This window comes from Homo sapiens, chromosome 6, assembly GCF_000001405.40.
Source record: "Homo sapiens chromosome 6, GRCh38.p14 Primary Assembly".
Taxonomy (NCBI): Eukaryota; Metazoa; Chordata; class Mammalia; order Primates; family Hominidae; genus Homo; species Homo sapiens.
In genome coordinates, this window is record NC_000006.12 from 83852397 (window position 1) to 83865287 (window position 12891).

The 12891-nt window shown below is 39.9% G+C and overlaps 3 protein-coding genes across 10 annotated transcripts in view, besides 1 other annotated feature; all 3 read left to right on the top strand.

Annotated features, from left to right (window-relative positions):
• RIPPLY2 (ripply transcriptional repressor 2) lies at positions 833-5119 on the top strand. Of its 5 annotated transcripts, NM_001009994.3 has the most exons (4): positions 964-1115; positions 1299-1377; positions 1701-1765; positions 4846-5119. In NM_001009994.3, exons 1-4 carry the CDS (start codon positions 1021-1023, stop codon positions 4991-4993), a joined length of 387 nt encoding a protein of 128 aa, NP_001009994.1. In that variant the 5' UTR covers positions 964-1020; the 3' UTR covers positions 4994-5119. The 5 variants fall into 5 exon arrangements, 3 of the variants coding, with proteins under 3 accessions (NP_001387829.1, NP_001009994.1, NP_001387828.1); NM_001400900.1 differs by having other exon boundaries at positions 833-1115; positions 1701-5119; NR_103525.2 differs by lacking the exon at positions 964-1115 and having other exon boundaries at positions 1209-1377.
• The window catches only part of RIPPLY2-CYB5R4 (RIPPLY2-CYB5R4 readthrough), a 114064-nt gene continuing 102136 nt past the window's right edge, over positions 964-12891 (top strand). For 2 of the 4 annotated variants that reach the window (NR_174603.1, NM_001400774.1), the window contains exons 1-3: positions 1209-1377; positions 1701-1765; positions 11779-11932. Coding sequence is in view for 1 of the 4 variants with exons in the window: in NM_001400774.1 (NP_001387703.1) it covers positions 11806-11932 (127 nt within the window). In the remaining 3 variants the exon portion in view is untranslated. Of the gene's footprint in view, positions 1116-1208; positions 1664-1700; positions 1766-11778; positions 11933-12891 lie in introns of those variants that run through there. The other 2 variants (NR_174604.1, NR_174605.1) reach the window with 2 other exon arrangements.
• Positions 7293-12891, top strand: part of CYB5R4 (cytochrome b5 reductase 4) — a 107735-nt gene continuing 102136 nt past the window's right edge. The window contains exons 1-2 of the mRNA NM_016230.4: positions 7293-7461; positions 11779-11932. Of these exons, the coding sequence (NP_057314.2) occupies positions 7387-7461; positions 11779-11932 (229 nt within the window). The 5' untranslated portion in view covers positions 7293-7386. The remainder of the gene's footprint in view (positions 7462-11778; positions 11933-12891) is intronic.
• Positions 7364-7413: a silencer, noted in NCBI's record as "silent region_17361". NCBI's record gives its function as "represses an Ori minimal core promoter by ATAC-STARR-seq in GM12878 lymphoblastoid cells {active_cell/tissue: GM12878}" and the evidence as "EXISTENCE:reporter gene assay evidence [ECO:0000049][PMID:35858748]".

Here is a 12891-nt window from a genome sequence, read left to right on the forward strand (position 1 = left end):
CCTCGATGCATAACACTTTTTACAAAGTTTAGTGGTAGATAAGTGAGGGGTAACTCAAATCAGAGAAACAGGGGTGCAGACGTTTGATTAACTTGTCTCATATCATAACTTTTCAAGATTTCATTATCATTCCACAACACTGCCCTCAAAAAAGAATTTTGTAATTACCATTGAGTGACAAAATACCAAGTAGTGACAGAGGTGTATAGACGAACTCAAAAGTTATTGTAGGAGGACACTGATAAAATGTTGGGGAAAATCACAAAAGACACGAGAAGATAATTTAGAGCTCTATGCCCAAATCACATGACTCCAGTCTCTGGCTCTCTTAGCCAGAACAGCGAATCTTTTACAATTTACCTCTTGTTGCCAATAATTTTCTATTATCTTCAAATAATAATAGGCTGGAGTATGAACCTAGTTTATCAATACTTTTTTAAAAAACCGACATTCCTCTCTTAAGGAGTCCATGCATTCTCCCCATTTTTTAGAAAATTGTTCCATGAAGAGGAATTAAGTTTATTCCTTTGAATTCTAGTCTGCATCCCAGCTTTTAGAACACGGGATGCAGAACCAGTTGATTTGCCACAGGCCAAGTCCTGAGTCTCCAGCGAATCAAGCAATTAACCAGTCACTTGGCCTTTTTGCAGAAATCCACAAAACGTGTAGACTCGCTTAATTCCATCTCCTCCTGGCCTCTTCACACGGAAATTGGCTGCTCGGGCGAATGTTGTTTTTCTCCGCAGCCATGTGTCGAAGGGCGATTAACATTCGCTCGACAAAACCCTGTCCCGGGCCATTTGGGAGTTGCACGCGTTCACACCCGGGGCTCAGCCCGGTGCGCCTTCACGCGCAGCCTTTTTGTTTATGCGGCTAGCAGGGAGAGGGGCGGAGAGGCAGCGAACCTCTCAATGTGCAGCAGGCCGCGAGGGCTATATAAAGCTCGGGTCTCGGACCTACTGGAACTGGTCAAGATTGCCCGCGAGCTGGCAGCGGCCTTCCGCCCAGCTCTGCGGCGTCATGGAGAACGCGGGAGGCGCAGAGGGTACAGAGAGTGGAGCTGCGGCGTGCGCGGCCACCGACGGCCCTACGCGGCGCGCGGGCGCGGACTCCGGGTAGGCTTCCCCGCGCTGCTCTGCGCCTCCCAGCTTCCCCCGTCTCTCCCTCCTGCGCCTCCCCAGCTCCTCCCCTCCAACTCTCCATCCCCCACTGCCCGGTGCCAGCGCTCGGCTTCGGTGGATTCTCCCGGGTCTGGGCTCACGTCTCCTCTGCGCGCCTTGTGCTCCCCTATCCCGCAGATACGCAGGCTTCTGGAGACCCTGGGTGGACGCCGGAGGCAAGAAAGAAGAGGAGACGCCGAACCACGCCGCGGAGGCGGTGAGTGAGCCACGCGTCTCAGGCCGCGCCTCCCACGGGTGCAGAAGATCGACCAGGGCTCTCGGGACGCAGGGCCTGAGAGAGACATGCGAGACACCGGGTCCTGCCTCTCGCTTAACATCCCGCCTGCCGGTGGCCATAAAGGTGCCGACGCGGCGGATGTGTCCTCTGGAGCGATGGGCCACAGGCACCCAGCCGGGAGCGAGGCTGCTGAGAGCCCTGGGGTTACATTCCCAGCGGGCACGAGGAACACTGGGTCGTGCACGTTTCCACTTTCTAGAAGGAGGTGGGTGATAACTGGATTCACTTCCTTTCCTCTCCAGATGCCCGATGGCCCTGGAATGACCGCAGCCTCAGGAAAGCTTTACCAATTCAGGCACCCAGTCAGGTGAGTGACAGGCCTCGCCGAAGGTCTCCCGCTCCTCCAGCCCCAGGGAGGAGCCAGGGGCATCGCGCAGCCCAGCTCCGCAGCTGGTCCTGCAGTCTCTCTCTCTCTCTCTGAAAATCTGGCTTCAAGGTTACTTATCTTCTCACTCATCAAATTGAAAAAGGTAGGGGCTCACGGTCCCACGTAAAGGGACTGTTGATGAATACATACTCAGTGAACTTGATGAATATATTACGAAGAGGGAAAGGGGATGATATGGTAAGAGAGCGGTGACATCTTGTGCTGGCAAAACAGTTTTTATTTTTAAATCCTAAAGGGTTCGAATGAAATTGACTTCGCATCAGGCAGAGTGTGTATGCTGCTTTTGTCTTGCAATCTGGAAGGAAGAATGGGATTAACAGTTACAGTCTTACAAGTTTGCCGAGTAGGAAAAAATAGAAATGTAATGAAAATCCTAAAGATTATTGAGAATGGTTATAGAAAGGGTCAAAAGTTTATTTAACTTGCGGAGCTAGTTTACTGTTCCTAGTCACAGGAAGTCAGCCTTTATCTAAGATTCTGTGTCACTTTTATTCAGGTGAAATGTTAAGAATTCTGCAGTTTTCCTGCCTCCGAGAGCTGTTAAATGAAGAGCTGGATGATGTTTGTAAAGTGCCCCTGGTCATAAATAACACATAGAAGTCATTACATCTAATTTCCTACCGTGTGCTAGCACTGGTGAAGGACACAGGAAAAAGTAGTCACAGCACATGGCAAGTGTTGTAATGGAATTTAGTTTGGTTAGTTTTACAAGTATGGGCAGGGCACGAAGTGCCTAAATCTGTCAGTGGTAGGGGGAAGGGTCAGGGAAGTGTATATTATAAGTTGTGGTTACCTGGCTGAGTCTTGGAAAAGTTAGTCAGATGAATGGGAAGTGGGAGCAAAAGAAATAGCATTGGAAAAGAGAAGCAGGATCATGAAACGGTGTGGCTCCTTGCGGGAACTCCAAGGAGTTTAGGTGTGTGAAGTTGTGGTCATTTTAGCAGGGTAATCAGAGGCCAAATCTTGCACACTCTTGTACAGAGTTCTGTCCTGATCCTGTATGTAGTGTTGGGAACCCATGGGCTTTATTCCGAAGGTAGTCTTGGGGGTTATATGTTAAATAGGCTTAGTCAGGGCATCAAAAGTAAAACTGGAAGTTCTGCAATTTTTCAGGTAAGAAATAATGATGAACCATTGTAAGACAGTGGAAGTGAGGGTGAGACTGGGTGAATCTAGGAAATACTTGAATGACAAAATAGATTAGGCTTTATAACGTATTGGATATGTTAGGTGAAGAAGAGGTAAAAGGCCAGAATGGCTCCTAAGTTTGTGGCTGGTGAGCAGGTGAATGCTGTACTAAAAGAATGTAAATTAGGGCCGAAAACAGATTTGGGAGGTGAGATCATGAGTCAAGTTTTCCACTTATCATATTTAATGTGCCTATGGGGCATCCAAAGAGTGATATCCTGTAGAGAACTGCGTACGTAAGTTAGGGGCCCAGAGTCAAGATCTTAAGTGGAAATACAGACTTGGGAGTCCATGGTAAATGTAGGGTGGGGAAATCATGACAGTGGGCCAGGTCATCCTAGTTTGTTTAGAGGGAGGGCTGATGTTCTCAATGAAAACCTGAGGGAAGGCCAGCATCTAACCAGTACACAGAGAAAGAGAGGTCCACAAGGAGACGGAGAAGAATCAGAACAGGAAGAAACTCAGAAAAGTATGCGGGCCCTGGGAGAAAAATGGCCCACAGTGAGAAATTCTGGACAGAGTATCATAATGACTAGCATTCTTTGGGTTTGCCAGTTCCAGTTACGCATTAGGAAATAAATTGTTTCTTATATAAGAAATTCCTTTCTTTTCTGAAGTACGGTTACAATTTAATTGTTCTCTTATATTTTATTTTTATTCATTTATATCTTGACTAATATGGTGTGTTTTATTCTTTTTATTCAGCTGTCAACTTTTTGAGGGTAGGGACCATGATTTATTCATCTTTAAATTGTGAATTATGTTGGCACAAGGGATCACTAAAATATTTATTGAACGACTGAATAATTGATAGTTACTTGTTTAAGCATCAAAAATATAAACTTTTTTTATGATTTTTGCTGGAAACATTTATAAACTGCATTGTTTGTTTTTCTGCCTTTTAAAGTGGAGCATACTGAACATAATGTAATCTTCCATTTGTTGGGATGACTCCATTGTATGGATATATGGGCTGTTTACCCTGCACTAAAATGACTGCACTGTACTTGGTGATTCAGCCTTATCTCTCCTCTTTCTTTTCCTTGATGAAGACCAGAAGGCAAGATTAGTATTTGTCAGATTTTTGAAATTCTGAGGTAATAATACTTACATGCCAGTTATTTGTATAAAACATATATAATTTCTCAACATTTCATATGATATTCACAAATTTAGTTGAATGGGGAGAAGACAGGCACATAGAATCAAAGTTGAGGTCAGAAGTAGTCTTTCTATGCCTCAAGTTGTGAGTGCATAGACAAAAATTTTAAAATACTGGTTTTTATACATTTTTAAACTTACGTTGTCTACTTCTATAAGAGTTAAATCTGTGAGTTTTAAATAAGATAATAGGTTATTTCCACCTTTTTGTAAGGTGCATAATATTTTGTCATCTTTATAAAGCTGGCTATCATTAAAGTTTTTAATGTAGTGGTAGAACTCAATTCATTTTTTCCAAAGGAATTTAGAAACTGGAAGACAAATCTTCTATATATTATAAGAATAAATATATCCATAATGTACAAAGTAAGGTAAACATTGATCTTATGCATATCCAGGGTTTAGTGTAAATTTGTTTGATCCAATTTACAGCTTGAATAAAGATTTACAATAATCAAACAATTATTGATACTTGGGCAGGTAGATTCCATGAAGGCTGTGATAGTAGCATATTTTAACTCTGTATCTTAAGGCTATATCCAAATGTATAAGTCAATTGTTAAATATATGGAGCTCTTGAAATTTGACCATTTCATGAGTTTAAAGATCCTGAATGTGAAAAAATAAAACATGTTGTCTGCTTCTTTCAGACTATTTTGGCCAAAATCAAAATGTTATGATTACTTATATCAAGAAGCAGAAGCTCTTCTGAAAAATTTTCCAATTCAAGCCACAATTTCATTTTATGAAGATTCTGATAGCGAAGATGAAATTGAGGATCTGACCTGTGAAAATTAATCTGATTAGCTACTTTTGATTATATCCAAAGCTTGTGGGGTTTAAATTTAGTGTACAAATGTATCATAATTATTTTAAACTAATTTATTTGTATATAAATTATTAATAAAATGAAATATTTTGTAATTATTCTGGTATTTGGCCTTTTCTTTATCCCTACACTAGAATTGAATGTTGGAATCTAAAACAGGTGCCATCTACAAATGTCTTGATTGTATTATAAATATTTGGGGCTTACAAAGAATACATTTTTCTTTTCGTTAAATTGCACATTTATATTTAGTTATAATTTTGCAAAGAATGACAGTATTTAATTCTCAAGACTGAATCTTTTAACATCTGCTATTTCCTACTGATGCCAGTTGGATGTTGTAGTTACATATCAATGTTATCTTATTAGATAATGAAGAAAATAGACTTATGTTAGAAATCACTCATTTATTAGTAAAGATTTCTTAGCAGATGGAGAAAAACACATTAAATCATTACCTGTAATTGAAAAAGGGAATCAATCTTAGGGCTTTTAAATTATAGATATTTTAAATAAATGATGAGCAAAGTAACTCATATTTTAATACTCCTCTTCAGTCCTTAAATCCAGTAGTAAAATAGTATGGATGTTTAATACTTAATGTACTACATTGAGGGATCCCTAGAATTAAAACAAAACGTTTAAATTTGAGTGATTGATATGGAGTCTAAAAAAGTGGAGTCTAAAGGCCAGAAGTTGATAGCATCTTCCATTTCTGTACAAAGGGGAGCTAAGAAATTTGGAAAGCATGGAACATTCTTCAACAATATTAACTTTTCCTTGCTCTGGTTCTCTGCTTTTGATATTCTTATGTAAAAGTTTTCTCACGAGAAGTGAAATAAATCTCAGTGATTAGTTTTTCTTGTGTAGACTCTAGAAGAATATGTCATCATTTAATGAGAGAGAACACAGAAGCAATTTGCAAAGTCAAAGTAATACAGTTAATTATAGTCATGAGGTTCTTTTAGCTCAAATTCAGTCTTCTCATAATAAGCATTTCAATTGCAAATAAAAATGGATAGAGGTGAATGTCATAGGTGGCTACCTTATTTGAATGCTTGTATTTGAATGGCCACATATAGTCACACACTTTTTCTTCTGATTCTGCAAACATAACCTTGATTTTTTAGGCACTTTAAGAACTAAGTAGTTAAACAGAGAAAGTTTAAAGCATGACAATATGTTCAGAGTTAGGAAAAATTAGTAATTAAAGGAGGATGGGGAGGATTATTTAGAACTATGTTTCTTCTCCTGAAAACTTTCTCCCTTATTGGATTCTACTCTCAAGATCTATGTGTTCCCCAAGGGACACACAAAACAATCAATCAAACAAACAAAAACCATCAGATTTTGAGCATTAGAGCCTGGTGTTTACCTGCACAGTGTTGGTCCTTTTCCCATTAATATGTTGGAATAGCACAAACAGCCACTGCCACTTATTCAGTACCTAATATTAATCAGGCACTGCAGTATGTAGTTTACACATGATCCTTTAATCTTTAATAAACCCATTATGCAGATGGGGAAAATGAGACTTTGAGATACTAAAGTAACTTGCATAAGACAGCTCAGTCATTAAGTGCAGGGATGGCATGCAAACCAAATCTGACTTTTAAACGTTACTTCATCACCACAGCTGGAGGTGAGCTGCATCAGTACACAATTCCCAGTGAAGACAGGAAGTTACATAAGGAGGGAGAATTTGTGAGTGGGTGAATAGAGCAGAAGGTGACTTTACTAACGTCTTTCGCGCATTCATTAGCCCTCAGCATGCTTAAAGGTGAAGTTTAAGGATGATTAAAGGTGAGGTTTTCTTCTTACCCCACAGTAGTGGCTGTTGACATTTGATATTTTTGCTCTTAAAGGTGTGAGATGCTCTTTGCATTACAGCCTAGTGCCTTACAGGAAAGAATTTCAGAGAAACTAAAATTCGTTTTAGTCCATATTTCAAGTAGTGTGTTTTAGTCCATATTTCAAGTAGTGTGATGGTACTGCTTAACAATGAACAGACATTGCTGTTCCGGGTTAACAGGACTAAGAATTTGTTCCCACATTCGGTCAGCACCAAGGCTAAGGAACAGCTTCACTCTCTAATCTTTCCACGAAATAGCTGTCACCTTGCTCCGGTGCTGAAGTTCGGGATGCGGAACTAGCTGAGCATGCGTACTTCCTCCCTGCCGGCCCTCCCTCCGTCCCGTTGGCTCCGCCCTCCGCGGACGTGCTGCGTCAGAATGCGCCTCACCCCTGGCGACCCCGGAAGTGGGTCGGGGGCTTGGCCTCTGCCCGGCCACAGAGCCGGAGCTGGAGGTGCTGTCCCGTCTGGCGGCGATCCCCGGGCAGGGCCCGGGGCCGGGGTTTGAAGATGCTGAACGTCCCTTCCCAGTCTTTCCCGGCCCCCAGGTCGCAGCAGCGTGTCGCCTCCGGGGGGCGTAGCAAGGTAAGCGGGTGGCTCCGTGAGTCTCTCCCCTCGCTGCGTTTCGAGCTCTGGCAGTGTGTTCTCTTCTTCCGCCCCAACTCCCAGCTCCTGCACCCCTCTCTAAGCTGTCGTTCCCTGCTGTCCTTGCCTGCAACCTCTTTCTGATCCCACTTTGTCTACAGTCCCTAAACTCTCCTTACCTCCTCCCTTTCCCCTAGCAGTCCCTCTTCTTTCTGGTCCTTTATCCCGCTCTATCCGTTCCCTTCCTCCAAGTCCTTTCCCGCGATTTAAATTTATATGACAGAGCCAGGCACTGTGTTTGCGGTATTATAGGCTCTCGGTATTAGCCGCCTTCCCTCAACCTCATCTTCTCCCTGGTCTTTTGTTCTTCACTGCCTGAAGGAGTTGTACCACATCACTCGATGTGGGTTCCCTCGCAGGAGGGAAAGGCTTGGCAGTGGCGACAGTGACCGTCCGTGCAAGGATGGGGACTTCTGGAGTTGGGGAGCTAGGTCAGGTTTACAGACACTATCCAAGACATACTGCCTTTCTTTCTTCCTCTGGTACCTGATTGTTTTGTCATTGCCTTTTCTACTAGTATCACTTGCTAACTTCGAAGCAAATATAATAATACTCTTGAGTTCTTGTTGAGCACAGTTGCTGTTAGCAACAGGTGGAATACTGTACAGATATATTTTATATTTGCAGAATTCAATAAAAATTGTGTTCTTTGTTCTTTTGCGAATGTTGTTTGTTCCTATTTGTTAGTTCCTCATTCTGTAACCATATCTTTATCTTTCGTTTGTGACACTTCCACTTAACTTGGGCCACTCGGTTAACTCTTGAGTCTTAGCATCGTTTGGAACCCTTATCGATTTTCTTATTTTTCTCCACTTAGACCTGGCGTTCTGATTCTAGTTCAGAATGAATATAGGTTCAGGGATCTGTGGTTTTCATTAGCTTTCCAGAGATTTCTTAAGTACTTACGGGTGGCCGTGTATATTCTCAGTGCTTTGCATGTATTAACTTTAATTTTCACAATTATCCTTTGAAGTGAAAGCTTTTATTGTCTCTATTTCGCAGAAAAGGAAACTGGCTAAGAAATATTGCCCTAAATTGCGTAGGCTTGTGTTGTGGTTCTGCTGTGAAATTTCATTTACTGATTCATATATCAATCATCTAGCCATCCAATCATGTATATTTTTCTCATTGGTTTTTGACCTATTTCTTGAAGCTAAATACTTGACTGAATAACAGTCTTTCCAGAAAGAATCTCTGAATTAGAATATGAGTTACTGCCCTTCTTCGTTAAAAATACCAACTGTGTTCTTAGCATCCATTTAAAGGAGAAAACTTAGAAGCAAAGACAAAAAGTCACACAGGGGGCGATGGCAAAGGTGAGTTTTTGGTCCAAAAAGAGAACAAAATAAGATTATTGTGCAATTCTAAGGAAAAGTCAGACTCCAGTCTTCTTCCTCTTTTCTTTGTGAAACAAGATGATGCTGAGAATGTAAAAACTGAGTCAGGTTTGGATGAAATGGGTAGAGGTTGAGAAAATAGAACCAAGTTGGGAAGGTCGTGTATTATACAAAAGGTTCTCAAATAGTGTTGTTTCATTCAACAGCATTTAGTTATAATATTGATGAGAAAAAAAATTCGTTTTGGCCAGGGCCACTGTCTTTGGAGTTTGCATGCTCTGTGTCTGCGTGGGTTTTCTCTGGGTACTCTGGTTTCCTGCTACAGCCCAAAGATATGCAAGTTAGGTTAATTGGTGTGTCTAAATGGTCCCAGTCTGTGTGAATATTGGGTGTGTATGAGTGTGCCTTGCCATAGGATGGCATCCTGTCCAAGGTCGGTTCCTGCCTTGTGCCCTGAGCTACTGGGATAGGCTCTGACTACCTGTGACATTGAACTGGAATAGTTGGGTAAATAATTATCTTACTTGTTTTTTAATTAATCTTTCTTAAATGTATATATAGCTAACATTTCTTTCAGTGTTTAATATTAGAAGTATTTTGGTCTTTATTTAGAAGTCTGGTGATGTTTTTGTGACCAGAAATATGCTGCAGGAAATTTTGTTTGTCAATTAACCCACGGTAAAATTAGTTTCGTTGTACATAGTTTAGTTTCCAAGCACCTAGTGACTAGCTTAAGTGAAGGCTTATTGTAATTTTTTAAAGGCACAGATTTTGAAGTGAGAAAGACCTAGATTCTTTCACCATATCTGCCAGTTAATCTCTTTGAGTCTGTTTCCTCAGATGTAAATGAGAATAACAGTACCCATTTTATAGGATTGTTCATAGGATTCAATGAGATAATGTTTCTCTTAGCACAGCCTTGGTAAGCACCCAGTAAATGCTACTTGTCCTGAGGCTTTTATTCAGATCTCACAGACTTGAGTGTGACACAGAATATGCACTCAACATATGATAGTTATTATTTCTATTAATACTGGTAAACAAATACTTATTGAGAACCTACCATATGCTGGAGTTTTTGGTCTCTGATTTCAAGGTGTTTAGTCTCATAGGTTGCATGAAATAGTGAACATTCAGTTATAAAGTCATAAGTACTACAACAGGGTGGTATGACCACTAAGGAGTTGAGGATCAGAGAAGCCTTCCAGAGGAATTAATGGGAGTTGGAGTGAGGTTGATCCATGCAGGGAAAGCAACACTACTATAAGCAAGTACTTGACAGCAATAAAGGAATCAAATAATCAGTTCCCATTTGGCTAAAGTATATAATGGAAAGGAGCAAAAGTTAGAACATGGAGCTAGTACAGTCAACTGTGACCAGATTGTGAAGACCTGGTAAATCCCTAGGGAATTTAGAGACGTTGTTGTAAGGTGACCTGAGGAGCCACTGAAGGAGGGAGAGCCTGTGATTAGATTTGCATTTCTGAAAGATTGCTTTAACTATCCTGTGGATTATGGAATGGAGAGAGGTGAGTGATTTTAGTTTGGGATGGGAAAGGTCATTTTCTCACACTTCATTTATTGGGATCAAGAGACCTAGAGTTTCAGTGATAGCCAGAATGGAATGATGTAGATTGATAGGATAGAATGTGAAAGGCACCACAGACCTATTAACTTGGTTACTTTGGGAGTAAATGGATGTCTAAAATAGATATGATTCAGGAAAGTGAGATATGTAAACATCCTTGAATGTGTCTGCTTTTACATTAAACATTCTTCTGTTACTACGTTACAAATTAGTCAGACAAGCTTAGTTCCATAGAGATATCTTGAAAATGTTCTGGTCAAAGTACTAATAATACTTCTCGTCTGAAAACTTTGAAAATGTGTTTTATAAAACAAAACAAAATAAAAACCCAAACCATCCTGTTACTAAGTTCCCTAGGCAAGGGTTGGCAGTTTTTTTTCTGCAAAGGGCCAGGTGGTGTTTTCGGCTTTGAGAGCCTCATAAGGTTTCAGGCTCTTTACCACCACATGTGAAGACGATTCTTTGCTCAAGGGCTGTATAGAAACAGGTACAGGCCATAGTTTGCCACCCCTTCCCTACAGTGTTACAAGTTTTATTTTCCATTATTTGATAAACTTTGTTACTCAATGGATTCTTAGATAAGATTGCTATCTAATGATTTCTAATAGTCTGTTTATCTTGACAGTCCAGAAAATCAACTATAGTTAATTGTCTCTTTACCTTTTCTTCTGTCAAATCTCTTTGATTTTTAAGGTGAAGAAATTTTGGTCCAAACTGGTTAACTGTAACATATTAATGTCAGAGCCAGGACCAGAACCTCTTTTCTAGTTTCTGGTTCAATACCATTCCTGTTATATGGTCAGCCCTGTGTAGCCCTGGGTTCCGCGTCCAAGGATTCAACCAACTTTAGATCAAAAATATTTGGGGAAAAAAATTAAAAATAACAATACAACAATAAAAAAATAAGAATTATAAAACAATGCAATACAACAACCATTTACATAGCATTTACATTGCTTTAGGTATTATTAGTAATCTAGAGATTATTTAAAGTATATGTGAGAATGTTCATAGGTTATATGTCAGTACTTTGCCATTTTATATGAGACACTTGAGCATCCTGGATTTTGGTATAGGGTAGGGGGAAGTCCTAGGACCAGTCCCCCAGGAATACTGATAGACTACTGTACTGTGACATCAATATGGTGAAAATTTGTGTGGTAGAATTTCTAAGCCCTACCTTTTATAATTCAAATACAGCATAAACAATGTTGACAGCCTCTTAAAACTGTAAAAGGATTTATAGAAGTGTTAGATTTGAGTTTTATTATCTTTTAAAATGGAATTAAAAGTAATGAAGCTAGATTTAATTCTTCCTTTTTCCATTTTTAGGTACCTTTAAAACAGGGCAGAAGCCTTATGGATTGGATTCGACTGACCAAAAGTGGAAAGGATCTAACGGGATTAAAAGGCAGGTTAATTGAAGTAACTGAAGAAGAACTTAAGAAACACAACAAAAAAGATGATTGTTGGATATGCATAAGAGGTAGGTGGTATTTATTAAGTCCTTCAAAAAATGTTGCCTGAACTTTCCAATTATGATGTTACATAACCTCACAGTCATGTTATTTTAAACAATTGACAATTTAACAAAAATATGCCTTGTGCTTGACAATAACTTATATAATTCTGACTTTGGATAGTATTTCTTCCTTAGGTAACCATTATATTCTGATGCAGAAAACAGTGAACTTCTGATACGAAAAAGTTTTTCTTGCTTCCTTGTACTGCATTTCCTTTGAAAGGAAACAAGCATTTGCCAGGCAATATAGTACAAAATTATTTGGTAAAATCCAGTTTATATAGCAATAACTTTCTGTCTCAGAGCCTTATAACAGAATTCTGTTGGAAAAAAAAAATCTCTGAGAATCTAAAGTAAACCTGAAAGTCCTGCATTAAAGCCAAATCTTCAGTTTTCACTTGCAGCAATTTTCATTACATGGTATATGTTTCTTAGCAATATTAGTTACTTGATTTTGTTTAGCTCAGAGTGCATTAGAAACTCCAAATTAAATATAAATGTATTGGAGGAGGTGAGCAGGCAGACAAGAAGGTAGCTGATAAAAGCTGACTTTGTGGTAGCCAACAACCTGATATCTAGTAGGGGAACAAAAATAAAAATGAAAGGCATCCAACTATACCATGAGGCTCCATGCATGGTTAACTGTGTTTACCATCTGTTTAGAGAGGAAGGGAAATATATCATTTTTGTTCTTAATGCAATTGTAATTTTATCATTGTATAATTTTGGTTTGTTGTCAGTTATCCTGACTGCACTATAACCTATATGAGGGCAGGGACATTGTTGGTCTTACTGCTCTGTCCTGAGTGGCTGGCACATAGAGGCCATTGACTTGTATTTGTTCAATGAGTGTAACACTTACTTTTAAGAAGTATGGTCACTTAAAGAGGTATCTGGTGGTTTTCACAGTGGATTGGTGATAT